Below are 27,253 nucleotides of genomic sequence, written 5' to 3' on the forward strand. Positions count from 1 at the left end.
GTTTAAAAATCTTAAATTATTTTTAACCTTTGGGAGTAAGAGAGAACAACTCATTATTTTTTGTACACGGTTGGGAAAATAAAATCCACTCTAGTGGAGGATCTGGAAATGTCAGGTTTTTACCTACTCATAAACAATTCAAAAAAAGTAAATGATCATACCTTCAGGGACTCCTAAAAGCATTGGCTAAATATGGTTGAAATATTAAAATTAAGGCCAGGCGCAGTGGCTCAAACATGTAATCCTAACACTTTAGGAGGCTGAGGTGGGCAGATCACTTGAGGTCAGGAGTTTGAGACCAGCCTGTCCAACATGGTGAAACCCCATTTCTGCTAAAAATAAAAAAATTATACAGGCGTGGTGGCATGTGCCTGTAATCCCAGCTACTCAGGAGGCTGAGGCAGGAGAATTGCTTCAACCTGGGAGGCAGAGATTGCAGTAAGCCAATATTACAACACTGCACTTCAGCCTGGGTGACAGAGCAAGAATCCAACTCAAAAATAAAATTAAAATTAAAAAATAAAAATTAACTGGCTTTTAATTATTGCCAGAAAAATAATACTAAAGTTAGCAAAGACATTTGATATTATAGATATGGATGTAGATATTCCCAAAACCCAATTTCACTCAATGATCTGAACCTAACCAGTAATCCAGATAAAGGGAAGTGATGCGGAGTGAATGCTTGAAGCCTTAATTCCCAATGTGATGATATTTGGAAGTGGGACCTCTGAGAGGTAATTAGGTTTAGATGAGGTCATGAGGGAGGAGCCCCCGTGATGGTATCAGTGCCCTTATGAGGAAAAGAAAGGACTGAGCTCTCTCTCTCTCCATGTGAGGACACAGCAAGAAGGCAGCCATCTGCAAACCAGGAAGAGAGCCCTCAAGAACTGAATCAGCTGCCGTCTTTAATCTAGACTTCCTAGCCCTTTAGAACTATGAGAAACAAACTTTTGTTATTTAAGCCACCCAACTGATGGCATTTCTATAGCAGCCCAAACTGACCATGATAAGAAGTAATTTTGATTATTTTCCTACTCCCAACTGTCTAACGTTTGTTTGTTTTTTAAATCAGTGAGCTTCTTTCGGTGCTAAGTGCTGACCTAGCAAACCTTAGCTGCATCCGGGGATGCAGTGTTGGGGACTAAGAGAAACAGCCCCAGGCACAAGAAGGCGGGAAGAGCACATGAACCAGCGCTCCCCACTCCTCCGCCCCTGCCCCCAGTACTCACTGTCAGGACTTAGTGGTTTCTCCTGTCTGGAGTGAGTGACCTTAGACAAAACCCCTGGCCCTTCTGAGCCAATCAAGCTGCTAGGCTGATCTAATGAGATTCTGTATGTGGACAGCAAAGTGGGCCATAGAACTAACTGTGAGTCCTCACTGGCCCGAAGGAAAGAACTCATTCTACCTAAGTGAATTTCTCTACCTAACTAAAGTCCAGAGACAAAGTCCACTTAGTAAGTTTGAATGGAAATACTGCTGAAACATATGACATACTTCTATTCCTTCTTTTTAGTTTTTATTTGCTAGCTCAAGGTCACCATGAATGCCGACTGTTCTACCTCTATCTACCGTACAATGGTCTTTCCAGGAGCTACTGTCAAGTCTGTATATTGAATTCTCCCATCCTGCTGAATGGAATGAGGACTTTTCTGAAGGCTGAATCTCCTTGCTGAAAGCTAAATCTCCTTGCTCAAGACCATACACATAGAAGGTACAATGCATGGGCTGACCCTGCAAGGAACTCCAGAAAAGAACCTAAAGTTACGTTTTTGAAGAAATCTCTGATTTTAGGCACAGAGACTTCAACTTTTTCATCACTGCATTCCCAGTGCCTGGCATATAGCAGATGTTCAGGAAACCTTTACTAGATTCCGATAAAACGATAGGGTAAAGATCCCTCAAACTCTGATTATTTCAGAATTCTGGGTATTTGGTTTCAATTATTTCAATGCAAAGCTATTCAAGAAGTCCACAAATACCATATTAAGTTCCTACAACGTACAAGACTGCTGTAAACAGGATTGAAAAATAAGCGTGTTCCTGCTCTCTAGGATGTAATCCAGTAGAGGAACTAAAATATATAAACAAGAAAACAGAAAAGTTCCACAATTTATTATTGGGATATAAATGAGGAATAAACCAAGTTAAAGCACAGAGAATGAATTCCTTTTTTTTTTTTTAAATCAGCTTTCTCAGGTTGAAGAGAATGAATTTCATCTAGCTGTAGGGTGATTTTAGAAGGTTCCATAAAGGATGTGGCAATTAAAATGGGGGTTGAGTAGGAACTCAGCAGGTGAAGAACAAGCAGAAAGGGCTTCCCAGACAGAGAAAATATAGTTATAAGTAGCTTGCAGGCAGAAAAATGTGGTTTTATGGCACTACCAATGGATAGAAAGAATGACTATTCCCTTTCTCAACTCCACAGTTAGCAATAACTTACATAACTTGGTGCTCAACTTCAGAGAGAGAGGAAAAGCAAATTCCAATTTCCTAAATTGTACCAAATACTAAGACGGCCCTACCCTCTGACTCCCTCTGACTTTTATTCCAACTCCTCTAAATCGTGGTGTGGAGAGATGGATGACATCATCAGGCATCCTACATCTCACATGAGGAAAACAGAACAGGACCATTATTCAGCATCCTCATCACCTTGCTCCATCCCAAAACATCGTAGGTGATGAGTTCTCTTGGAGGAAAATATTCAAATGAGGTGACGTAGACAGAACAATCCCCGCTGGAGGTGCTATGTAGGGTTTTCCCTCCTCCCTCTGAACTGTTCAAGTTTTCATGAATCATCTGTGCAGGCAGCCCAGCCCCGCCCTGGTAAGGACAACATCATCTGAGCCACCAATTCCTAGGCACCAGTAACGTGCTGACTTTTCCTGCAACCCTACGTGCAGTACTGTGATGTGACTCATTTTAAAGCTGTGTAAAGTGGGCCTGGGCACAGTGGCTCACGCCTATAATCCCAGCACTTTGGGAGGCTGAGGCGGGTGGAGCACCTGAGGTCAGGAGTTCGAGACCAGCCTGACCAACATGGTGAAACCCCCATCTCTACTAAAAATGCAAAATTAGCCGGGCATGGTGGTGGGCACCTGTAATCCCAGCTACTCAGGAGGCTGAAGCATGAGAATCACTTGACCTGGGAGGCAGAGGTTGCAGTGAGCCGAGATTGCACCACTGCACTCCAGCCTGGGCAACAAGAATGAAACTCCATCTCTAAATAAATAAATAAATAAATAAATAAATAAATAAATAAATAAAGTTGAGTAAAACAAGATCAGAGATAGAATTCACTTCCCAGACATCACACCATTGGCTAGAGGCAATGCTGGGATTTTCATCCAGGTATCTGCGACTCCAAAGCCCATGGTCTTTCTTTGCTAGGCTGATGCCTCAGCAAAACTCAAAAGACCAGTTCTTCTTTCAATAGCGACTGTGCACCAGTGTTCTGGTGCCACCATTTCTAGATGTGTTTCCATTCCACCAGCAAAGAAATGTAGCTGGCCACAAGGTCTCACTGCCCTGGCAGCAATGCTTACACTGCAAGGCGTCCTCCACATTTTTGAATTGAAAAAAGGTCACTATGAAACAAAACTCAGACCTAAGATGTACCCAGCCTCCTTTCTTTTCTCCCTATGGGATTCCCTCTCTCTTCTCTAGTTCCAGAGTGCCCTCTTATCCGACAAAAGTAATTTCCAGACACTTTATTATGATAACATCTTTCCAGTTCCACTTCCTGTCTGGGTCTTGGGATGAAGGAATCAACTCCTTATGCAATGGGACCTCTGGATCATCAAACCCTTACCTCAGAAACACCCCCTTTTTCCTCTCTCAGATAGAACTGAGGTTTCTTTCTTTGGCAGAGGATAAAAGCTCTCATTTCAAAATTAGGGACTGGCCTTAAAATGCTGACACCATTGTGAGGGGTGAGGGCTCCTGCAGACACCTCTGGACTGACTCCAACTCAGAAGACTCGGGCTCTGCGGTCTAAGGGACACACGGTGGCTTGGTGATGTCCCTTGGAGAGTGGTGTCCTCCCTGGGAAGCCCCAGGAGCTGCCCTGTCCTGCCCCCAGTGTCACCTGCCAGGCTAACTTTCAGTAACTCTATAATTCCGTGATCAAAACTCATCCAAGGTATAAATCAGTATTACCAGATTCTCTTTCGAGAGAATGTTTTGCTAAGAAAGTGATGAAAAAAAGGAGAATACTACTAAATGCCTCAAAGTGGACAGGAGAAAAAAAGACATAGAAATAAGGACACGGTCCTTTGACCATCTTCTTGTTTTGTCCAGGACTATCCGATACCCCATCCTCACAGTTAGGCCAATGATCCTCATTCCTACCAGAACAATTTTTTTTTTTTTTTTTTGAGATGGAGTTTCACTCTTCTTGCCCAGACTGGGGTGCTGTGGCGCAATCTCAGCTCACTGCAACCTCCGCCTCCCAGGTTCAAGCAGTTCTCATGCCTCAGCCTCCCAAGTCGCTGGAATTACAGGCATGCGCCACCATGCCCGGCTAATTTCATATTTTTAGTAGAGACAGGGTTTCTCCATGTTGGTCAGGCTAGTCTCGAACTCCCGACCTCAGGTGATCTGCCCGCCTCGGCCTCCCGAAGTGCTGGGATTACAGGCAAGAGCCACTGTGCCCGGCCAGCCCTACCAGAACAATTTTTATATAATCACAGACAGCCCAGTGTATGCCCTGTGGCCACCTTCCTCTACTCACCCTATCCCCACCCAGATAGTTACGGAGAAAGCTACAAGGTATTTCATGAACTTCGTGGGTCCTTGGTCTGGCAAGGGTTTTCAACAGACCATTTTCTTTCTTTTTTTTTTTTTTTTTTTTTTTTTTTTTTTTTTTTTTTGAGATGGAGTCTCACTCTGTCACCCAGGCTGGAGTGCAGTGGCGCGACGTTGGCTCACTGCAAGTTCCGCCTCCCGGTTCACGCCATTCTCCTGCCTCACCCTCCAGAATAGCTGGGACTACAGGTGCCCGCCACCACGCCCAACTAATTTTTTGTATTTTTAGTAGAGACGGGTTTCACCATGTTAGCCAGGATGGTCTCAATCTCCTGACCTTGTGGACCTTGTGATCTGCCCGCCTCAGCCTCCCAAAGTGCTGGGATTACAGGCATGAGCCACCGTGCCCGCCCTCAACAGGCCATTTTCTTATTAAAGATAAATTATGATTATCATGCCCACTTTACAGAAGTGGTAACATAGTCCCCTGGTAGACATCTGTATTTGTTTCCTGTGGTTGCTGCGACCAGTGATCACAAAGTTAGTGGCTTAGAACTATACAAATGTGGCCAGGCATGGAGGCTCATGCCTGCAATCCCAACACTTTGGGAAGCCAAGGCAACAGGATTGCTTGAGGCCTGGAGTTGGAGATGACCAGCCTGGGCAATACAGCAAGACCCCATCTCTACAAAAAATTTAAAAATTAGCCAGGCATGGTAGGTAATGCATGCCTGTAGTCCCAGCTACTTGGAAGGCTGAGACAGGAGGATGGCTTGAGCCGGGAGTTCCAGGTTGCAGTGAGCTACAATCACACTACTGCACTCCAGCCTGAGCAACACAGTGAGGCTCTGTCTTTAAACAACAACAAAGAAAAACACAAATGTATCATCTTATTGTTCTGGAAGTCAGAAGTCCTGAAGTCAAGATATTGGGAGGGCTGTATTCCTTCTGGAGGCTCTAGTGGATAATCTATTTGCCTTTTTTCTTTTTTAGATGGAGTTTTGCTTTTGTCACCCAGGCTGGAGTGCAATGGCACGATCTTGGCTCACTGCAACTTCCACCTCACAGGTTCAAGCAATTCTCCTGCCTCAGCCTTCCAAGTAGCTGGGATTACAAGTGCTCGCCACCACACCCAGCTAATTTTTGTATTTTTAGTAGCAATGGGATTTCACCATATAGGCCCGGCTGGTCTAGAACTCCACCCACCTTGGCCTCCCAAAGGGCTGGGATTACAGTCATGAACCACCACGCCCGGCCTCTTTGCCTTTTCTCACTTCCAGAGGTGGCCTGCATTCCTTGGCTCATGGCCCCTTCCACCATCTTCAAAGTCAGCAATGCAGCAACTTCCAGCCAATCTCTCTCTCTCTTTCTCCTTCTTTCTCTCTTCCATTCTCTCTTCTTCCATCATCATATGGCTTTCTGACTCTGACCCTCCAGCCTCCCTCTTATAAGGACACTTATCATTACATTATTATTCCCACCCAGATAACCTCAAATAATCTCTCCATCTCAACATCCTAATGTAGTCACATCTGCAATGTACTTTTTGCCATATAAAGTAACATGTTCACAAGTGTCAGGAATTAGGACACGCACATCTTTAGGGGGATATCTTTGGGGGTACATCTTTCGGGGGACATTGTTCAGCCAACCACAACATCTATTAAATTTCGATCTAGATTTTTTTTTTCAAAAATATAATCTCAATCCCATTTTGAGAATCAGGATAGTCTATAATCGATCATGTTTTGTTGCTATGGGAAACATTTCAAAAGGACATTTTAAGTTTTAGAATGTTCCAAGATATAAGAGAAAGGCTTAAAAGAAGTATTTTTAATCAAGAAGACAAAAGGAAAGCGAGGCAAATTAATTTAAAAAATCACATAAGCAGTGATGGATCACGAATTTCTTCATTAAAGAAACACTGAAAAACCACATGGGTTGTGCTAAAAGGCAACTAGACATCGCAGAGTTCTGACTGACCTGATTAGACACAGACATGCAGATTCATCATTCTGCCCTGAGTGAGGACAAGCTCAGGCCACCCCTGCCTGGCTCAGTATCACTGATGAAAAAAATCAGACAGATTCACCAGACCCTCCACTCCAGTCGTGAGCAACAGAGGTGTCATCTTCCTGTACAAAGCACCAGACACCTGCCCATACACAGCTCATGAAACCATCATCGCAACACCACCAGGAAGCCAGGCAAGCATTTCCACTCTCCTGTGTGAGGTCAAGAAGTCAGGGCTCAAGGAAGTCAAGAAACTTGCCCAAGATCACATGTTTAATGGCTGGTGGAGGCAGGACTAGCCCAGGCAAGAAGGCACACTTTTCCCCCAGATCTATCCACAGGATCTTCAACAAGAAACAGACCTTCAGCAGGGCATGGTGGGTCATGCCTGTAATCACAGCCTTTGGGAGGCTGAGGCAGACAGATCACTTGAGTTCAGGAGTTTGAGACCAGCCCTGCCAACATGGCAAAACCCTGTCTCTACAAAAAATACAAAAATTAGCTGGGTGTGGTGGCAGGTGACTGTAATCCCAGCTACTCAGGAGGCTGAAGCAGGCAGATCACTTGAGGTCAGGAGTTCGAGACCAGCCTTGTCAACATGGCTAAAGCCTGTCTCTACAAAAAATACAAAAATTAGCTGGGTGTGGTGGTGGGCACCTGTAATCACAGCTACTTGGGAGGCTGAGGCAGGAGAATCACTTGAACCCAGGAGGTGGAGGTTGCAGTGAGCCAAGATCACACCACTGCACTCCAGCCTGGGTGACAGAGTGAGACCCTATCTCAAAACAAACCAAAAAAAAAAAAAAGAGAGAGAGAGAGAGAGAGAAATAGACCCTCAGTGAACCATGCTGATCCTGCTAAGACCGCTCCTTTAACTCAGATGGGCTCTTTCACAATTCCATAATTCCCTGCAGTCTTCATTCCAAATCTTTACTATCCTTCACCCAACACCACTCTTTCTCAAAGTCCCTCCCCAAAATTATCTGAAAAATTCTATCTTAATGCAGTGTTCATCTTTTCTAGCCACTGGCTCCTCCCCTTAAAAATAAGCCTGGGATCTAAATAAGATGATTAGGAGAGGCTGAACTGTGAGAGGTTCAAACAAGGAGCCTGGAAGTCAGACAGCCTGGGTCTGCCACCTGGCTTTGCCTTGCTAGCTGTGTGACCTTGAGGCAGTCACTTAACCTCTCCATGCCTTAGCATTCTCATCTGGAAATCAGAATGACAGCATAGGACCTGGCAGAGCAGTTGTGAATACTGAATGAGAGTGATGTCAGGCACATGGATAGCCTGGCTCCTGCACCCGTACTCTTAACCATTCACATGTGGTACAGACTCATTTTGGGGGCCATCTGACATATAGTTCAGATGTCTGTCCCCTCCAAAACTCATATTGAAATGTGATCCCTGGTGTTGGAGGTGGGGTCTGGTGGGAAGTGTTTGGGTCATGGGGCGGATCCCTCATGAATGGTTTGGTGCCCTCCCTGCAGTAATGAGTGAGTTCTTGCTCTATTAGTTCATGTGGGAGCTGGTTGTTTAAAAGAGGCTGGCATCTCGCTTACTCCCCCTCTTGCGACGTGATGCCCACTCCCCTTCCTCTTCCCACCATGAGTAAAAGCTCCCTGAGGCCTCACCAGAAGTCCAGCAGATGCAGGCACCACGCTCGTATAGCCTGCAGAACCATGAGCCAAATAAACCTCTTTTCTTCATAAATTACCCAGTCTCAGGTATCCCTATATAGCAATGCAAAATGATCTCATACACCATCCTTTTCCAACCTCTGTGAGGTTAAGAGCCTGGCTTTCCTTTATCCTTGGCTGTTGGGCAGGGTCTCTCTGGTCACCCCAATGTTCCCCCTGCTCCATTCCATTAAAGACATAGAGACCAGACCAATCATCTTGGAGCTGAGGCTGCACCCTTTCAAGCTCAGAAAACTTCCAAGATCCCCCAGCTACCTCCCTACTACAGTCCCATCTTTTGACCTGGTACCCTAAGCCCTCAGACCTAATCAGCCCTTCAATTCTGCTTCTGATGTGCCCACCTCTCACCTTCCACTCTGGTCAAAGCCCAACAGCCTCCAAGGTCCAACACACACTGAACTTCCACATCACAGGATTTTTTTCATTCTGCCCTTTATTATACTATCTATCCCAATTGTTTTCATCCTTCAGGGCCCATCTCAAGTGCCTTCCTCTGTCTGAGCAGTTACACCGGGACATTCTTTCTCTTTCCTCTGAACTACTTTTTTTTTCCTTTTTTCTTGAAACAGAGTGTTGCTCTGTTGCCCAGGCCAGACTGCAGTGGTGTGATCATAGCTCACTGCAGCCTCAACCTCCCTGGGCTTAAGCAGTCCTCCCACATCAGCCTTCCAAGCAGCTAAGACTATGGGTACACATCACCATGCCCGGCTCATTTTGTTTATTTTTTGTACAGACAAGGCCTCACTCTGTTGTCCAGGCTAGTCTCAAACTTCTGGGCTCAAGTAATCCTCCTACCTCAGCCTCCCAAAGTGCTAGGATTACAGGCATAAGCCACCATGCCGTAGCTTATTTTCTGTAGTGTTTATGGCATCTAATAGATTACGTGAATATGAGTGAGTTGTGGTGATGGAAAGGTTCTATATATTAACTGTATCAATGTCAATATCCTGGTTGTAATACAGTACCATAGATTTGCAAGACATTACCACTGGGGGACACTGGACAAAGGGTAGAGGCACCTTCCTGCATTATTTCTTACAATTGCATGTGACTCTACACACATCTCACAATAGGAAGTTTAATTTTAAAAATATAGATTAAGAATTATAATTAATTGATCAATCATTAAGGTTATTCAGCACCCAATTCTGCAGCACACCACACAAGATATTTTACTTATGTAAATCTTAATGCGTCCCCAAAGTCCAGACTCAGTTTTGTAATGGCCTATTCAGAATCTCCACCTGGACAGCTAATAAGTATTGGACTCAACACGTTCAATACTGAGCTCCTGGACTTTCTTTCTCCCCTCTCAGTTAATCTCACCTCTATTCTTCTAGTTGATTGAGCCAACTATCTTGCTAGTCCTCCCTCACTTCTTTCTTCCTCTTGCACTCTACACCTACCCCGCACCCCAATCAGCAAATCTTGGTAAGTCCACCTTTGAAATAGATCCAGAATCTGTCCAGGCACAGTGACTCACATCTATATTCCTAGCACTTAGGGAGGCCAAGGCAGGCAGATCACTTGAGCTCAGGAGCTTGAGGCCAACCTGGGCAACATGGTGAGACCTCTTCTCTACTAAAAATACAATAAAAAATTAGCCATGTGTGGTGGTGCTTGCCTGTGGTCCCAGCTACTACTCAGGAGGCTGAGGTGGGAGGACTGCTTGAGCCCAGGGTGGGTGGAGGTTGCAGTGGGCTGTGATCACACCACTGCACTCCAGCCTGAATGACAGAGCAAGACCCTGTCTCAAAAAAAAAAAAAGAAAGACAGAGGAAGGAAGGGAGGGAGGGACGGAGATCCAGAATCCCACTGCTCCTTCCAACCTCCAGGGCCACCACCCTTGTCCTAGCCACCACCGTATCTCGTCTGGATTATTACAAAGCCTCCATGCTACTCCTACTCCTGTTCCTGCTTATTTTATTTTCTGTAATTTTTATAATATAATATACTATGCCTGCTGCCACAAGAGCAGAAGCTCTGTGGGAATTCTACTTTGCTTACTGCTGCATCCTGGACCTTAAAACTGTGCTTCAAACATTGTAGGCACTCAATCAACATTTGTGAATGAATGAGCAAATCAATGAATATTATGCCTTCGGTATTTAAAAAACTTCACAAAGTTACTTATTATTGTCTCATTTTTACAAGTGGGGAAACTGAGGGTCAGAGAAGGTCAAGGCTCTGGAAGGGATGAGAGCTGAAGTTCTCCTATTCTGAGACTGACATTCCATCCACCCTGTTCTACCTGGACTTAGTCTCTTGGCTGGGTCCTCAGAGGCTGGACCTCTGTCTGATTGATCATTTTGGTTTTCAGCATCTGGGAATACTGCTTAGATATTGCAGAAATGCAATAAAAACTTGAAGAACTAATGCAAATTTTTGATCATTTTATGAAAATGTACCAAATTCAGTTATGAGTTTATTTCTCATTTATTTATTACCTCTATGGAACTGATGCCTTCATCCTTACAACTTTCTTCTGTGAGTCAAGGTGTGATTCTGAGATAACAATTCCCATTTGTGTTAGTTTGTTTTAAGGACTGCTATAAAGACATACCTGAGACTGGGTAATTTATAAAGGAAAGCAGTTTACTTGACTCACAGTTCTGCATGGCTAAGGGGGCCTCAGAAAACTTACAATCATGGCTGAAGTTGAAAGGGAAACAAGCACATCTTACCATGGCGAAGCAAGAGAAACAGAGAACGTGCAGGAGAAACTGTCATTTATAAAACCATCAGATCTCATGAAAACTCACTGTCATAAGAACAGCACGGGGGAACTACCCCCATGATCCAATCATCTCCCACCAGGTCTCTCCCTGGACATGTGGGGATTACAATTCAAGAAGAGATTTGGGTGGGGACACAAAGCCAAACCATATCCCCATTCTTTTTTTATAGACAAAGTCTCACTCTGTTGCCCAGGCTGGAGTGCAGTAGCGTGATCCCAGCTCACTGCAACCTCCGCCTCCCAGGTTCAAGCAATTCTCCTGCCTCCGCCTCCAGAGGAGCTGGGACTACAGGGGTCTGCCACCACACCTGGTTAATTTTTATATTTTTAATAGAGATGGGGTTTCACCATGTTGGCTAGGCTGGCCTCAAACTCCTGGCCTCAAGTGATCTGCCCACCTCAGCCTACCAAAGTGCTGAGATTACAGGCATGAGCAACTGTGCCCAGCCTCATATCCCCATTTTACCAGAAGGCAAACTGAGGCTCCATTTCTGCTCTTCTTGGTGGCTCTGACTATTGGGTAGCACTGCCTGTCAGCAAACTAGACCAACTACTGCACAGAATACACAGGAACCTTTCTCGGTGCTGCGCTGTCTCTCTTGTGTAGTGCACTATAGAATCTTGTGATGAAGTCTTTCCTGTTGGATTTCCTTAGGCTGGCAATGAACAATTTTATAGCTGCCTTCTCTACAGATGCCCTGGTTTTGTTGCACATAATTTGCTCAGGACTGCATCAAATTTGGGGAGAATGCAGAGAACATGATTGTTTGAGTGTACTTGATTTGTCTCTGCCTGGTAATTTGTTAAGGCCATGAAAGAACAACGTGATGCATGAGTCCCCTGCCTGGATCCATCGTCTGCTGTCCCCACTCATCAGCCTCCCAAGTGACTTGTAGCTATCTCGAGCACACACACAGAGCCACTGTCTCTATGAAGACAAATGTGTTTTACTGTGAGAGGGCAATGCTTTAGGGCAAAAAACACATTATAATCAAAAACAGTGATCAGAGGCTCAGAGGGCACTTCCTCACTCCGTTGTTTTTTTATTTTTATTTTTTTTTGCTGAGGGGACAGAATCTGTTATGAGCTCTTAGTCATAACATGCAGCACAAGTCAACCTGAAGCCATTAGCACTTACCTTCACATCTTAGCTCACTTACATAAATATTCTTTTTCTTTCCCCCCCGCTGAGACAGAGTCTTGCTTGCCCTGTTGCCCAGACTGGAGTGCAGTGGTGCCATCTCGGCTCACTGCAACCTCTGCCTCCCAGGTTCAAGCAATTCTCCTGCCTCAGCCTCCCAAGAAGCTGGGATTACAGGCTTGCACCACCACGCCCAGCTAATTATGTTTTATTTATTTATTATTTATTGTTTGTATTTTTAGTAGAGATGGGGTTTCTCCATGTTGGTCAGGCTGGTCTTTAACTCTTGACCTCATGATCCACCCACCTTGGCCTCTCAAAGTGCTGGAATTACAGGCATGAGCCACCATGCCCGGCCTTTCTTTTCTTTTGAGACGGAATCTCTCTCTGTCACCCAGCCTGGAGTGCAGTGGCACGATCTCAGTTCACTGCAACCTCTGCCTCCTGGGCTCAAGCGATTCTCATGCTTCAGCTTCCCCAGTAGCAGGGATTACAGGTGCCCGCCACCACACCCGGCTAATTCTGTTTGTTTATATTTTTAGTAGAGACAGGGTTTCACCACGTTAGCCAAGCTGGTCTCAAACTCCTGATCTCATGATCCACCCTCAGCCTCCCAAAGTGCTGGGATTATAGGGGTGAGCCACCACACCCAGCCTTTTTTCTTTTCTTTTCTTTTTTTATTATTATTGTTATTTTTTTTGAGATGGAATCTCGCTTTGTCACCCAGGCTGGAGTGCAGTGGCATGATCTCGGCTCACTGCAACCTCTGCTTCCTGGGTTCAAGTGATTCTCATGCTTCAGCTTCCCGAGTAGCTAGGACTACAGGTGCCCCTACCAAGCTTGGCTAGTATTTTTATATTTTTAGTAGAAACAGGGTTTTGCCACATAGGCCAGGCTGGTCTTGAACTCCTGACCTCAAGTGACCCACTGGCCTCAGCCTCCCAAAGTGCTGGGATTACAGCTGTGAGCCACCACACCCAGCATAGCTCACTTAAATAATTTTTTTTTTTTTTTTTGAGACAAAGTCTCACCCTGTCGCCCAGGCTGGAGTGCAGTGGCGCAATCTCGGCTCACTGCAACCTCCGTCTCCCGGGTTCAAGCCACTCTCCTGCCTCAGCCTCCTGAGTAGCTGCGATTACAGATGCGCACCAGCACGCTGGCTAATTTTTGTATTTTTAGTAGAAATGAGGTTTCACCATGTTGGTCAGGCTGGTCTCAAACTCCTGACCTCGTGATCCACCCGCCTCGGCCTCCCAAGGTGCTGGGATTACAGGCGTGAGCCACCGCGCCCTGCCTAAATAAATATTCTTTAAGGAGAGATATACGGAAGCGATGGGCACTTTTCAAGATTTCACAACTTGTGGGGACATTATTAGTGTCCTATTAGATGGGGGCTTTTTTGCCCCTACACTTCAAGAAATTCCATCTCGAAGAATTCTTGCCTGGCCTGACACAGTGGCTCACACCTATGATCCCAGCTGTTTAGGAGGCCTACGTGGGAGGGTCGCTGGAGGTCAGAAGTCTGAGACAAGCCTGAGCAATAGAGTTAGACCTCATCGCTACAAAAAGTTTTAAAAATTAGCCGGGTGTTGTGACATGGGCCTGTGGTCCCAGCTACTTGGGAGGCTGAGGTAGGAAGATCACTTGAGCCCAGGAGTTCAAGGCTGCTGTGAACTATGATCATGCCACTGCACTCCAGCCTGGGTGAAGAGCAAGACCCCATCTCTAAAAAAGAAAAAAGAAGCACATGCACACACACATACACATACTTCTAAAAAAGATGACCAAAATTCTGGATTCACAGATAAGACTTGGTTTTTCCCTTTCACATTAAAATATCCTTCACACTTTCCAGTTTTGTTCAATCAATTATTTTTTTTTCTTTCAAATTTGAGACCAGGTTTTGGTCTGTCACCCACGCTGGAACACAATGGCACCATCATAGCTCACTGCAGCCTCAAACTCCTGGGCTCAAGCAATCCTCCTGCCTCAGCCTTCCAAAGTGCTGGGATTACAGGCATGCATGACCATGCCTGACCTAGTTAACTCATTTTTAATTGGACAGACTGGGAAAAGATAAAAGAAATTCATTATTGCCCTATTCCCTTACTCCTTCCCTCTGACATGCCAAGCAATAGTACTAAATACTCAGCTATTGCCAAGTACCCTGCCATGTGCCAGGCACCTTGCCACATCCTCCTCCCAGGAGGTGGGTGATTATATTCCCCACTGTATTAGTTCATTTTCACACTGCTATAAAGACACTACCCAAGACTTGGTAATTTATAAAGAAAATAGGTTTAATTGACTCACACTTCCATATGGCTGGGGAGGCCTCAAGAAACTTACAATCATGGCAGAAAGAGAAGCAAGGCACATCTTACATGGCGGCAAGAGAGAGAGCGTGCACAGGGGAAACTGCCACTTACAAAACCATCAAATCTCGTGAGAACTCACTACCATGAGAACAGCATGGGGGAATCCGCCCCCATTATCCAATCACCTTCCACCAGGTCCCTCACTAGACACGTGCATATTGCAATTTGGATTACAATTGTTGATGAGGTTTGGGTGGGGATACAGCCAAACCATATCACCCCATTTGACAGATGAGGACACTGAGATGTGTGACTGTTTAAAACTTGCCCAAGGGAAATGAAAATTAAAACCACAATGAGATGCCACCTTACTCTTGTAAGAATGGCCACAATTTTAAAAATAAAAAAAAATAGATGTTGGCATGGTTGTGGTGAAAAGGGAACACTTCCAACGCTGCTGGTGAGAATGTAAACTAGTACAACCACTATGGAAAACAGTGTGGAGATTCCTTAAAGAACTAAAAGTAGATCTACCACTTGATCCAGCAATCCCACTACGGGGTTCCTACCCAAAGGGAAAGAAGTCATTCTATGAAAAAGACACAAGCACACACGTTTATAGCAGCACAGTTCGCAACTGCAAAAATGTGGAACCGACCTCAATGCCCATCAACCAACGAGTGGATAAAGAAAATGTAGTATATGTTATGTGCACCACGGAATACTACTCAGCCATAAAAAGGAATGAAACAATGGCCTTTGCAGCAACTTAGATGGAGTTGGAGGCCATTATTCTAAGTGAAGTAACTCAGGAAGGGAAAGCAAATACTGTGTTTTCTCACTTCTAAGTGGGAGCTAAGCTACGAGGATGCAAATGCTTAAGAATGATATAATGAACTCTGGGGACTCGAGGGGGAAGAGTGGGAGGGGAGTGAGGGATAAAAGACTACATATTGAGTATGGTGCACTCTGCTTGGGTGATGGGTGCAACAAAATCTCAGATATCACCACTGAAGAACTTACCCATGTAACCAAAACCCACCTGTACCTCAAAAACTACTGAAATGAATTTTTTAAAAAAAAACTTGCCTAAGAGCACAGAGATATAAAACATCCAGGATTTGACCCAAGTTCAGTGTGATTTCACAATCCCTGGAATTTGCTCCTTCACCGGCAAGAAGTCAAGCTCCTTATCCATGGGGCAGCCCTAATTATAGGCAGGCAATCTTTGATTTCCTGCAGTCTCTTTATGGTTCCATTTAGCAGAGGAAACTACAGCATATTTCTGATACCCTGAAAAAGAGATTTGTGTGGCCAGGAGCCAGAGTGAACTTCCTTTAAAATCGGAGACAGCTACTGGGTTTAGACCGGTTTCTGATTCAAACAAGCAGTTTGAAAGAGAAGAACTCCATCAATCAATAACCCAAGGGCACTGTCAATCAATAAACCAGATTAATTGAGCACAAATAGGTGACTTTTTGAACTCAACATGTTCATCTTTCTGATACGGGATTTTGGCTTTCAGAATACTATGGGAAACTAGGGGACTAAGCATGGCATGTTAAACACAGCCAAAAGATATGAAGAAGCCAGGGGTGGTGGCTCACGCCTGTAATCTCAGCACTCTGAGGCTGAGGTGGGCAGATCACCCAAGGTCAGGAGTTCAAGACCAGCCTGGCCAACATGGTGAAACCCTGTCTCTACTAAAAATACAAAAATTAGCTGGGTGTGGTGGTGGGTGCCTGTAATCCCAGCACTTTGGGAGGCTGAGACGGGCAGATCACCCAAGGTCAGGAGTTCGAGAGCAGCCTGGCCAACATGGTGAAACCCTGTCTCTACTAAAAAGTAAAAAAAAAAAAAGAAAGAAAGAAAGAAAGAAAATTAGCCAGGCATGGTGGCACACACCTATAATTCCAGTTACTAGGAAGGCTGAGGCAGGAGAATTGCTTGAACCTGGGAGGCGGAGGTTGCAGTGAGCCAAGATCACATCACTGCACTCCAGCCTGGGCGACAGAGCGAGACTCCATTTCAATTTAAAATATATTATTTATATATATATATATGTATGCATCAAAAAAAGATATGAAGAAACTTAGCTGGAGAAGCAGTGACTCCCAGTTCTCCAGCCACCATTGACCACCTTGTGATCAAGCATGATTAAGACTACTGGGCCTTGGGGATGGGTCTTTGGCTGTCTTCTCATTATCATCACTTAAGTATAATGAAGACTCCAAAATCTGTATATCTGGGATAAACACTTTGAGTCCCAGAAATCAATATGCAAGAACCCACTGGACATCTCCAGTAAGATGACCTTCAGTTCTCATCACCATTCCACCCTATCCAGACTCCCTGTCCCTGGTCTCAGCGGTTGTCACCACCTGTACCTCATTACCTAGTTAAGCGGCCACACACCTCACTCCTCACCCCCACATCCATATCTCATCAAGATGAATTACAGTAGAGACAATTTAACATGGTAGTTAATTAAGAGTATGGGCTTTGGAGTCTGATTAAGCTAAGCGGGAATCCCACTCCCACCAATTATGAGTTGTGTGACTTGGCCAAGTGACTTTTAATCCCTTTCACATTAATTTCCCTCATCTGTATAATGGGGACACCAATGCCTCCCAGTTATTGCAAACATCAAATAGAATAACATAAACACAGCAAGGGTCTGTATTTTTAAATTCCCATGCCAACTTCTCCCCAACTCATTGCTCCTTCCTCAGTCTAAGCCCTTTCCTTTCTTTTCCTTTCTCCCCTAACTATGCAAAAGGGCTTCTGGTTGTTGCCCCAGCCTCAAGGCCCACTTCTCTCAAATCCATTCTGCAAACCACAACCAATGCAACCTTTTAAAATGCAAAAAGGATCTCATCAGCAAGCATCAATATACCTTGTCCAGTCTTCCCACCAAAAGCAAAACACTCCAGTGCTTTGGGAGGCCAAAGTGGGAGGACAGCTTGAAGCCTTGGATTTGAGACCAACCTGGACAACATAGTGAGATACCATCTCTACAAAAAATGTAAAAATTAGCTGAGTGTGATGGCACACACCTGTAGTTCTAGAGGCCAGGAGTGTGAGGCTGCAATGAGCTATGATTGCACCACTGCACTTCAGCCTGGGAGACAGAGCAAGACTCTGTTTCTGGAAAAAATAAAATATAAAATAAAGCAAAAGCCCTGTGCAGTGATAAGAATAAGAGAAGTCCAGTTCATGAAGCATGGATTAGCAACTGATGTTACCCTTTTTGTTGAACTCCTTTGACAAACTCCGTTTGTTGAACTCCATATGACAAAACTTACAGATCTGTCTTCTCTCCAGAAAAAACATCACTACTCATAAACACACACAATATTGTTAAGCTCCACGGGTGCACAGACCCCAGGTTAAAAACTTCAGAGTTGGGCTGCTAGGCTGATCAACCACAGTCGTGGAGATTCAAAATCTAAAACATTTTTCTTAACTTGCATACTGAGGATCTTCAAAATCTGGCAAGAGGCTTCGGCAGCAGCTCAGGGCACTTTTCCCAGAAAGAGTGGCACCTCTGAAGGGATCTTAAAGGGAGTAGCACAAAACCATGATCAATCATGCACCTGAAACCCTCAAGTTTTACACCCCCAGTGGGTGCTGGCTAAGCCATTGCACTTGGCTATCTGAGGAGCCCCCCACACAGATGTAAGAAACACTAAGTTCTCAGATTTGTCTCCATGACACCCCTTTTCCCACTTCCCCCCACCACAGCACCAGATGGCAGAGAAGCAAGCTCTCCAAAGTGCCCTACAAATTGCACAGGGGTACCAGACCAAATTTTATGATCTATCATCCCTACGGTGCTTCTAGGTTCAGAGATGTTAAATTCCCACCCAGATGGTTGAGGTCTGCAACATACCCTGAGGCTCATTTCACTGGATACGAGCAGAGTAACAGCAGCAAAGCACACACCAACTGGCACCAGCTTAAAAACTATCAGTAGGCTGGGCACGGTGGCTCTCGCCTGTAATCCCAGCACTTTGAGAGGCCGAGGAGGGTAGATCACCTGAGGTCAGGAGTTCGAGACCAGCTGGGCCAACATAGTGAAACCCATCTCTACAAAAAATTACAAAAATTCGCCAGGTGTGGTGGCACGCACCTGTGATCTCAGCTACTCGGGAGGCTGAGGCAGGAGAATTGCTTGAACCTGGGAGGCAGAGGTTGCAGTAAGCGGAGATCACGCCACTGCATTCCAGCCTGGGTGACAGAGCGAGACTCTGTCTCAAAAAAACAAAAACAAGAACAAAAACACAAAAAATCTATCCGTACACATGAGCATGTAAATGGTGGCACACTCCTGAGGCCAGCATCACCTGCAGTCCTGAAACCATTTATTTCAGAAGCTTTTTTTTTTTCTTAGAGTATCACTCTGTTGCCAAGGCTGGAGTGCAGTGGCTGGAGTGCGATCATAGCTCACTGCAGCCTCAAAGTCCTGGGCTTAAGCAATCCTCCTGCCTCAGCATCACAAATAGCTGGGACTACAGGTGTGCACATCACGCTTGGATAACTTTTTCAACGATTTTCTGTAGAGATGGGATCTTCCTATGTTGCCCAGGCAAGTCTCAAATTCCTGGGCTCAAGTAATCCTCCTGCCTCGGCCTCCAGAAGTGCTGGGATTATAGGCATGAATCACCACACCCAGCTTATTTTAGCAGCTTTACAGGAAAAAAACACCACCACCACATACTTTTTTCACCATCACCATAAAACTTTAGTGGAACAAACAAACTCTTAATATTGAAGTTGATGAGTAGAGTTTGGAAGCACCACTGAAACAAAAATGGCCTTGAATGTTAACCAGATGACGTTAGGGAAACCGCAAGAGGAGTGAGAATAATCAGGGAAAAGGAACACTCCTGAAAATAGGCATGCTAACATCCACCACCAGCAACACGGATGGTTGGGCTCTTCCCATTTTCAGAAAGCTTCGCTCTTCAAACACCACCTCCCGCTTTAGAGAGGAAGGCAGAGAAATATTTCCAGTGTGCTCAACTCAAAGAGAGGCCAGTGTCACCCTCCATAGGGGAGTGAGTTCTGGTCAACCGGCCTTGCTTTCAGCCTCCCCATGTCCCATCACCACCGCAGCTCCTACCCAAGGAATAAGTATTATAGGACACATCTACTAACTTTAAAAGGAGATCTATGGACACGTTCCCTCCTGATCCTTGAGAGCATCACACGGAGGACTTGGAAGGCCTGCATATGCAGCCATCTGCAGATGTTTCCCACATCGAAACCCAGGTCTTAGAGGATCCTGGATCTTTTTTGTTTCTTTTTTCTTTTTAGATTCGGGGGTAACCTGTACAGGTTAGTTACATGGATATATTGCATGATGCTGAGGTTTGGGCTTTGATGGAACCATCACCCAAACAGTTAACACAGTACTACTCAAATAGGTAGTTCTTCAACGTGCCCTTTTCCTCTCTCCTCTGTTTTGAAGTCCTCAGTGTCTATTGTTTCCATTATTATGTTCCCGTGTACCCAATGTTTATGTCTCACTTATAAGTGAAAAGATGGAGTATTTGGTTTTCTGTTTCTGCATTAATTCACTTAGGATAATGGCCTCCAGCTGCATCCATGCTGCTGCAAAGGACATGATTTCACTTTTTATGGCTGCACAGTATTCCATGTTGTATATGTACTACGTTTTCTTTAAGAGGATCCTGGTTCTATCCCTCAGGACAATTCAAGGTTTGGAAACTATTATTGGTTCCTCTTCCCTCTCCTCTCTCTGGCAATTTAAGTCTGTTACCTCCAAACCAATGAGGACAGCCACTGCGATACAAAGTGCTGAGGTTGAAGTGGGGGAGTAGGAAAGGTATCCTTATGCGCTTAGAGCTAAGACACAAAGACTCACAATGGGTTGTCCAGATTCTTCCATTTACTGACAGGCCTCTCCAGTTAGAGGCATTTACATTGTGAAGTGGGCCTGTCCTGGCAGAACAATTGCATTGGACCCTGTCCAGTGTTTTGCTTCTCCTCTAAAGAGCTACTATTTGCCCCAGTGTTGGGGTGGTGGTCCTTTGTCTGGGTTTGTTCCATCATAATAAGCATCATCATCATAACAATAACAATAATTACTATTCCTGCTATTGTTCCCATACTGTGTGTATTTGGCATGCAGTAAGTGCCCAACAGATAGGAACAATAATAGGAATAGTAATTCCTCACTTTGCATGTATTATCTCTTATTATCCCTATAAAGTATATATTATTATCCACATGGTACAGGTGAGAAAATCAAAACTTGTGGGGTGGTGAAGTAGGTCAAATGCCATGCATCTTCAACCATGCATTTTTATTTTATTTTATTTTTTATTTTATTTTTTTTAACCAGGGACTCACTCTGTCATCCAAGCTGGAGTTCAATGACATGATCGTGGCTCTCTGGAGCCTCAAATTCCTGGGCTCACACAATCCTTCTCCCTCAGCTTGCTGGGCAACTTGGACTATAGGTACCCACCACCATGCCTGGCTAACTTTTTAATTTTTTGTACAGGCTGGTTGCCCAGCCTGTGCCATGTTGCCCACTATGTTGCCCAGGCTGGTCTTGAACCCCTGGCCTCAAGCAATCCTCCCTCCTCCGCCTCCCACAGTGTTGGGATTACAGGCACGAGCCACCATGCCCAGCCTAATGAGCTCATTTTTTGACAAAGTTCTCTTATCAGAGGAACTAGTGTTCATTTATTCAACAAGTATTTTTGAGCAGTCACTATGTGCCTATCATTTCACTGTGTTTGTTCCCAGGGATAAGCATGATATATTTAGGCACTGCCTCAAGGATGAAACAAATTCCCCCCAAATTAATGTCCTCCTGCAGGCTTCAAGGGTCTAGGCCATCCAGCCTTCCCTGTTGACTCCCCTCCTTTTACCTTGCTGAACTGCTTTGCATAAATATTAAGTGAAATTGATGAGGGCCACTGGTTTGGACTGAGCTCCTGCACGCGGCCCAATAAACCAAACCAAAATGGAGTCCCTCATGCTAAAAGTTCCACACGACCGAGCCAAAACTAATTGGTTTATATGACCTTCTGAGAAGTCAGGAGACGGAGAGCTGGCAGCCAAACCCTAAGCAAGCCCATTTTAGCCAGCATGTGAAGGAAGTCCCTCTGCTCTAACCTTTACAAGGAAAAGTCGCTCTGAAACAATCAATCTGCTTTTTTTGTTTTCTGTTTCTGCTTTCCTCAGCCCTTTTCTGTCTATAAAACCAAACTTCTCTGCTCAGCTCATAAGAACACTCACTTTATAGAATGAGGTGTTGCCCAACTCCAGAACTGCATATAAAAGCCAGTTAAGATCTTTGAACAAAATATATCTTCAAAAAAGGACAAATCTCCAACACTTTAAAATTATAGATCTGTCTGTAGATCCTAATCTGCTACAACACTTCCTGCTCAAAAATAATAAGCAGGATTTTTTTTTTTTTTTGAGACAGGGTCTCGCTCTGTTGCCCTGGCTGGAGTGCAGTGGTGCGATCATAGCTCATTGCATCCTGGAACCTGGAACTCTTAGGCTCAAGCAATTCTCCAGCCTCAGCCTCCTGAGTATCCAAGACCACAGGTGTGCAAGCACCACACCCAGCTGATTTTTTGTGGTTGTTGTTAACAACTTTTAAGTTTAGGGGTACACGTGCAGATTTGTTCCATAGGTAAACTTGTGTCATAGGGGTTTGCTGTACAGGGTTATTTCGTCACCCAGGTATTAATCCTAGTACCCATTAGTTATTTTTTCCTGATCCTCTCCCTCCTCCTACCTGCCTCCACCATCTGATAGGCCCCAGTGTGTATTGTTCCCCTCTATGTGACCATGTGTTCTCATCATTTAGCTCCAGATTACAAGTGGGAACATGCAGTATTTGGTTTCCTGTTCTTGCGTTAGTTTGCTAAGGATAATGGCCTTCAGCTCCATCCATGTACCTGCTAATTTTTGTAGTATTTGTAGAGACAGGGTTTTGTCTCGAACTTCTGGCCTCCAGTTATCCTCCTGCCTCACCTCCCAAAGTGCTGGGATGACAGGCATGAGCCACCACGCCCAAGCTAAACCAGGAAGTTTTTGAGTCATTTGTTACACAGTAATATGGCAATACAGGTCTGGATGTAAATTCAACACTCTTCCTTCTTGAGAAGTAAATATTAATGACCATGTTGATAGAGCAAATTTGTATTTTAAATGGGTGTGTCCTAACTCATCACCTGCGATGAGTGGAGCAACGTTTAGATGCCCTGGATGCCACTGTGAAGAGAGAAGACCAGTGAGTCATTGCTGCTAGAACATGTTGCTAATATCAAATTCTTGAGTAGTCCCAGGGAACAGTTGAACCTGCTGCTGGCCAATTACTGCAAGGAGAAACAATAGTGTCAGTGAAGCCAACATCGGAATGATGGGTTTTGGCAAACTCCCTTCAGCATCCAGATGGATAATGTTCAACAACTCTACTCAACAGGTTAACTCATTTAGTTATCTGGGGGAGCACGATGGGGCTTAATTAGCTTACTAGATCTGTTACAATGCATTTCTGTTGAAAATGAAAGGTTCCCCAGGAACAAGATACAGGTGATTTTATGACTGAGATAAACACGTGGTTACTCCTGTTCCTCAAATAGCTCAAGTCAAAGTCATGCTTTAAGATGCAGCAGGTTCTTTTGCATAACAAGATACCACCCTCTGCTTGCTATCTCATGCAGGGTTCTTAGAAATAAGAACCTAGGACACATTTTTCTAAAGCCAGTATTTAGATCACCTGTTGGGAAGGCTTTCTAAACTACAAAGGCTGGGCGCAGTGGCTCATACCTGTAATCCCAGCATTTTGGGAGGCCAAGGAGGGAGGATCATTTGAGCCTAGGAGTTCCAGACCAGCCTGGGAAACACAGTGAGGCCCTATCTCTCCAAAAATAAAAAACAAAACAAAATTAGCCAGGTGTAATGGCACGCACCTGTGCCATTGGGAGGCTGAGGTGGGAGGGTCGCTTGAACCTGAGAGGTTAAAGCTACAGTGAGCAGTGAAGGCACCACCACATTCCAGCCTGGACAACAGACCAAGATCCTATCTCAGGAAGAAAAAAAAAAACTAAACTACAATGTACCCCCATCTCCTTGCATCTAGAAAGTCTAGTATGAGCACCTCTTTCCTCATTGAAAATCACCATCATGATAGCTTACTATTACTAGAAGAAGTATGTTTTGAAAAAGTCCACAGAAATTTGATAGTGAGGTAAGGTTGAAAGCCACCAATGTGTCTGAAATAATACAAAATACTTGTATATTAGATAATTTGAATATGGGGCAAAGAGTTCCTGCTTAAAATATAGTTGAGAAAACCATTCTTCCAATAGACACTTTAAGGCCATCACTGGAATCAGGTAACTGGTGTTTAACTTTTTGCCTCAACCAATTGGAAATTTGCAGCTAATGTCATGCACATTCCGAGCCAATGTGTTCCTTTAAGGGGCTGTCATATTTTTTTCCTTCCTCCCTGTGTGTGGATTTCTATTTTCTATTTCTATTCTGACAGCCTTTGCAGTTGTGTTTTTTCTTTTATCTTATGATGCCTTGATCGCTTTTGGAAACAGGCAGAATATAAATTACAAATTAATAGCATGAAGCTGGCAGGGAAGGTAGGTACTCGGGTTTCTTTCTTGGCCACAGCTATCAAAATGCATTTTCAGAACAACATGCGGGAAACTACTAGAAGACTTAGCAAGTGCCTCTTTAAGGAATGGGCCCTTGGAAGCAGCTACCATCAGAGAAATCCCTGCTCTGCCCTGCTAACAAAGCCTCACAACTCTCCACAAAAGATATCTTTCTCAAGGCTCAAAGGGCAGGTCAAGCCTCCAGGAGGAAGGTACCCAGGCAGATAAAAGACGTATGTTGTAAAGCTAATTCCCAGCTCAGGGCAGAGCTGTATATCTGACACTCCCCCTCTTATTGGGATGATGATGTGGCTCATTCATTGCGTAGGTTTTAGGCTTCCTCTGGAGGAGAGAACTTTGAGCCATCAGATAAGAGTTGTGAGCTTGTCTTCTTGTAACAGGAATGTTTCTGCCTCCTTCAAACCTCCTCTTAGAAAGCCTGTAGAGAGAAGTGTCTCCAAAAAAGGCAAGTTGAGTTTGCCTCTGGGATCCTGAAATCAACCGGCAAAAACGGGATAAAACAGTAGGGGACGGGGGACCTTCATTACAAGAAAACGTAGGATGGACCACATGGGTGGCAGGTGGAGAGGGCCCTCCAGAGCTTACTGCACAGAAACCAGCCCCCCTCCTGGCATAAAGTCATGCTCATGGCCAGCCTTTCCTGGGCTGCAGGGCACCTCTCCTCTCAGTAAGGAGCACTCTGGGCTCACACAGAGCTTTAAAAATATCTCTCCACCCACTGAAATTTGATTAATCAGCCAAGTGCTCACCCATGTGTCACAGTGGTGGCAGAGATATATGTGATGGTGACATGACGGGTACAAGGGAAGCACACAGGATCTCATCTCACAGGGAGCAGGATTCAGTACATGAAAGTGAATGGCATGGGCTGTGCAGCCAGGTGGCAGCTTGAATCCCAGGTCCAGCAGATGCTGGTTATGTAACCTTGGACAAGGTTATTTAACTTCTGGATTTTTCACGTTTGCAAAAATGTAGTTAGTAACAGTACCTGGGCCGGGTGTGTTGACTCACATCTGTAATCCCAGCACTTTGGCAGGCTGAGGAAGGAGGATTGCTTGAGGCCAGGAGTTTGAGATCAGCCTGGGCAACACAGCAAGACCTCGTCTTTGCTAAAAATTTAAAAATTAGCTAGGTGTGGTGTTGTGCACTTGTAGCCTCAGCTACTCGGGAGGCTGAGATGGCAGGATTGCTTGAGCCCAGAAGTGTGAGGCTGCAGTGAGCTATGATCGTGCCACTGCACTCCAGCCGGGGCAACAGAATGACAGTCTGTCTTTAAAATTTTTTAAATAAATAAATAAAAATTAATAGTATATGCATAATAGGATGATTGAAAAGGTTAAATGAGTTAATCCACATAAAACACTTTGAACAGTGCCTAGCACATAGTAAGCACTCAATAAGCTTTAGCTGTGATGATGATTATGATGATGACAACAGTGACAATATTGAAACTAAAAAGTTGAATGAATAGGTAGGGATTTCCCAGGCAGACAAAGAATATGTCTGGCCCAAGAAGCTTAAACAAAAGCGGAGAAGGAGGAAGGAGCTCAAGGCAGCAGGGGATCGTGTGGAGGGTAAGCAGGGAGTTGAAGCAGACAAAAAAAAAGAAGGGATTCAGCCACACAGGACTTCATACACTTTGTCACCAAGTCTAGATACCAGTAACATGGCTGTAGGCTGTAGAGAGCTATTTAAGAATGATAAGCAGAAGCAAAATGTTAAAAGTGCTATAATGGTTGACAATTTTAACTAATTCAGGGAAACAAAATAAAATTAAATTAATTGTAACAGGATGAGCATGGTGGCTCATGCCTATAATCCCAACACTTTGGGAGGATGAGGCAGGCAGATCCCTTGAGCCCAGGCGTTCAAGACCAGCATGGGCAACATGGCAAACCCTGTCTCTACAAAAAATTATCCAGGCATGGTGACATGCACCTGTAGTCCTAGCTACTCGGGAGGCCGAGGCAGGAGAATCACTTCAGCCCAGAAGGTGGAGGATAAAGTAAGCTGAGATCACACCACTGCACTCCAGCCTGGGCAACAGAGCAAGACCCTGCCACACACACACACACACACACACACACACACACAGAACTAATTGTAACATACTTCTGGGTATGACAAAGAAACTTATGCAAGAATAACCCTCCCACCATGTGCCATAAGCCAGGCACAATAAAACTGAACCAAATATATGAGGCAACTGTTTTCAGGCAAATGACAACAGGCAGCACAAGATTACAATTGCAAGGAGAAGGGAAATTCACATGACAAGCCCCATGCTCGCCCTGGCTCTCTGCCTGGGGACAATTTCCCAACCACAATTCACGTAGTAGCTGCACGAACTAGAATCTGCAGGGTAGGACAGGAGAGAGAAGAACACTATGCAGAGAGGGAACATCAGAAGCCCATGTGTGGGTTCCCCATGAACATCTGGTTGAAGCCTATGTTATCCAGATGCAAGGTGAGATTTTATTTTATTTTATTATACTTTAAGTTTTAGGGTACATGTGCACAATGCGCAGGTTTGTTACATATGTATACATGTGCCATGTTGGTGTGCTGCACCCATTAACTCGTCATTTAACATTAGGTATATCTCCTAATGCTATCCCTCCCCCCTGCCCCCACTCCACAACAGGCCCCAGTGTGTGATGTTCCTCTTCCTGTATCCATGTGTTCTCATTGTTCAATTCCCACCTATGAGTGAGAACATGCAAGGTGAGATTTTAAATAAGACTTAACCAGGAAGCAGCTGCTATGAGGTTGAGAACAGAAAACAAATACTATAACTGAAGCAGCAGATAGTGGAAAAACCTCATTAGTACTCCAGGCATCCAGCTAAGACACTAGAAAGACCACCTCTTAAGAGATGGTCAGTTTCCACTGATTTGCCCCCCAACAGAGC

The 27,253-nt window shown here is 44.7% G+C and overlaps 1 protein-coding gene across 15 annotated transcripts in view, besides 1 other annotated feature; it reads right to left on the reverse strand.

Moving 5' to 3' along the window:
* CALN1 (calneuron 1) overlaps positions 1–27,253 on the reverse strand; it is a 724,789-nt gene that overhangs the window by 462,901 nt on the left and 234,635 nt on the right. The gene's annotated exons all lie outside the window — the stretch shown is intronic.
* Positions 23,092–23,671: an enhancer, noted in NCBI's record as "OCT4-NANOG hESC enhancer chr7:71730468-71731047 (GRCh37/hg19 assembly coordinates)". NCBI's record gives its function as "activates a minimal SCP1, AML or CMV promoter by ChIP-STARR-seq in primed H9 embryonic stem cells {active_cell/tissue: H9 hESC(primed)}" and the evidence as "EXISTENCE:reporter gene assay evidence [ECO:0000049][PMID:30033119]".

Source organism: Homo sapiens, chromosome 7 (genome assembly GCF_000001405.40).
Source record: "Homo sapiens chromosome 7, GRCh38.p14 Primary Assembly".
Classification (NCBI taxonomy): Eukaryota; Metazoa; Chordata; class Mammalia; order Primates; family Hominidae; genus Homo; species Homo sapiens.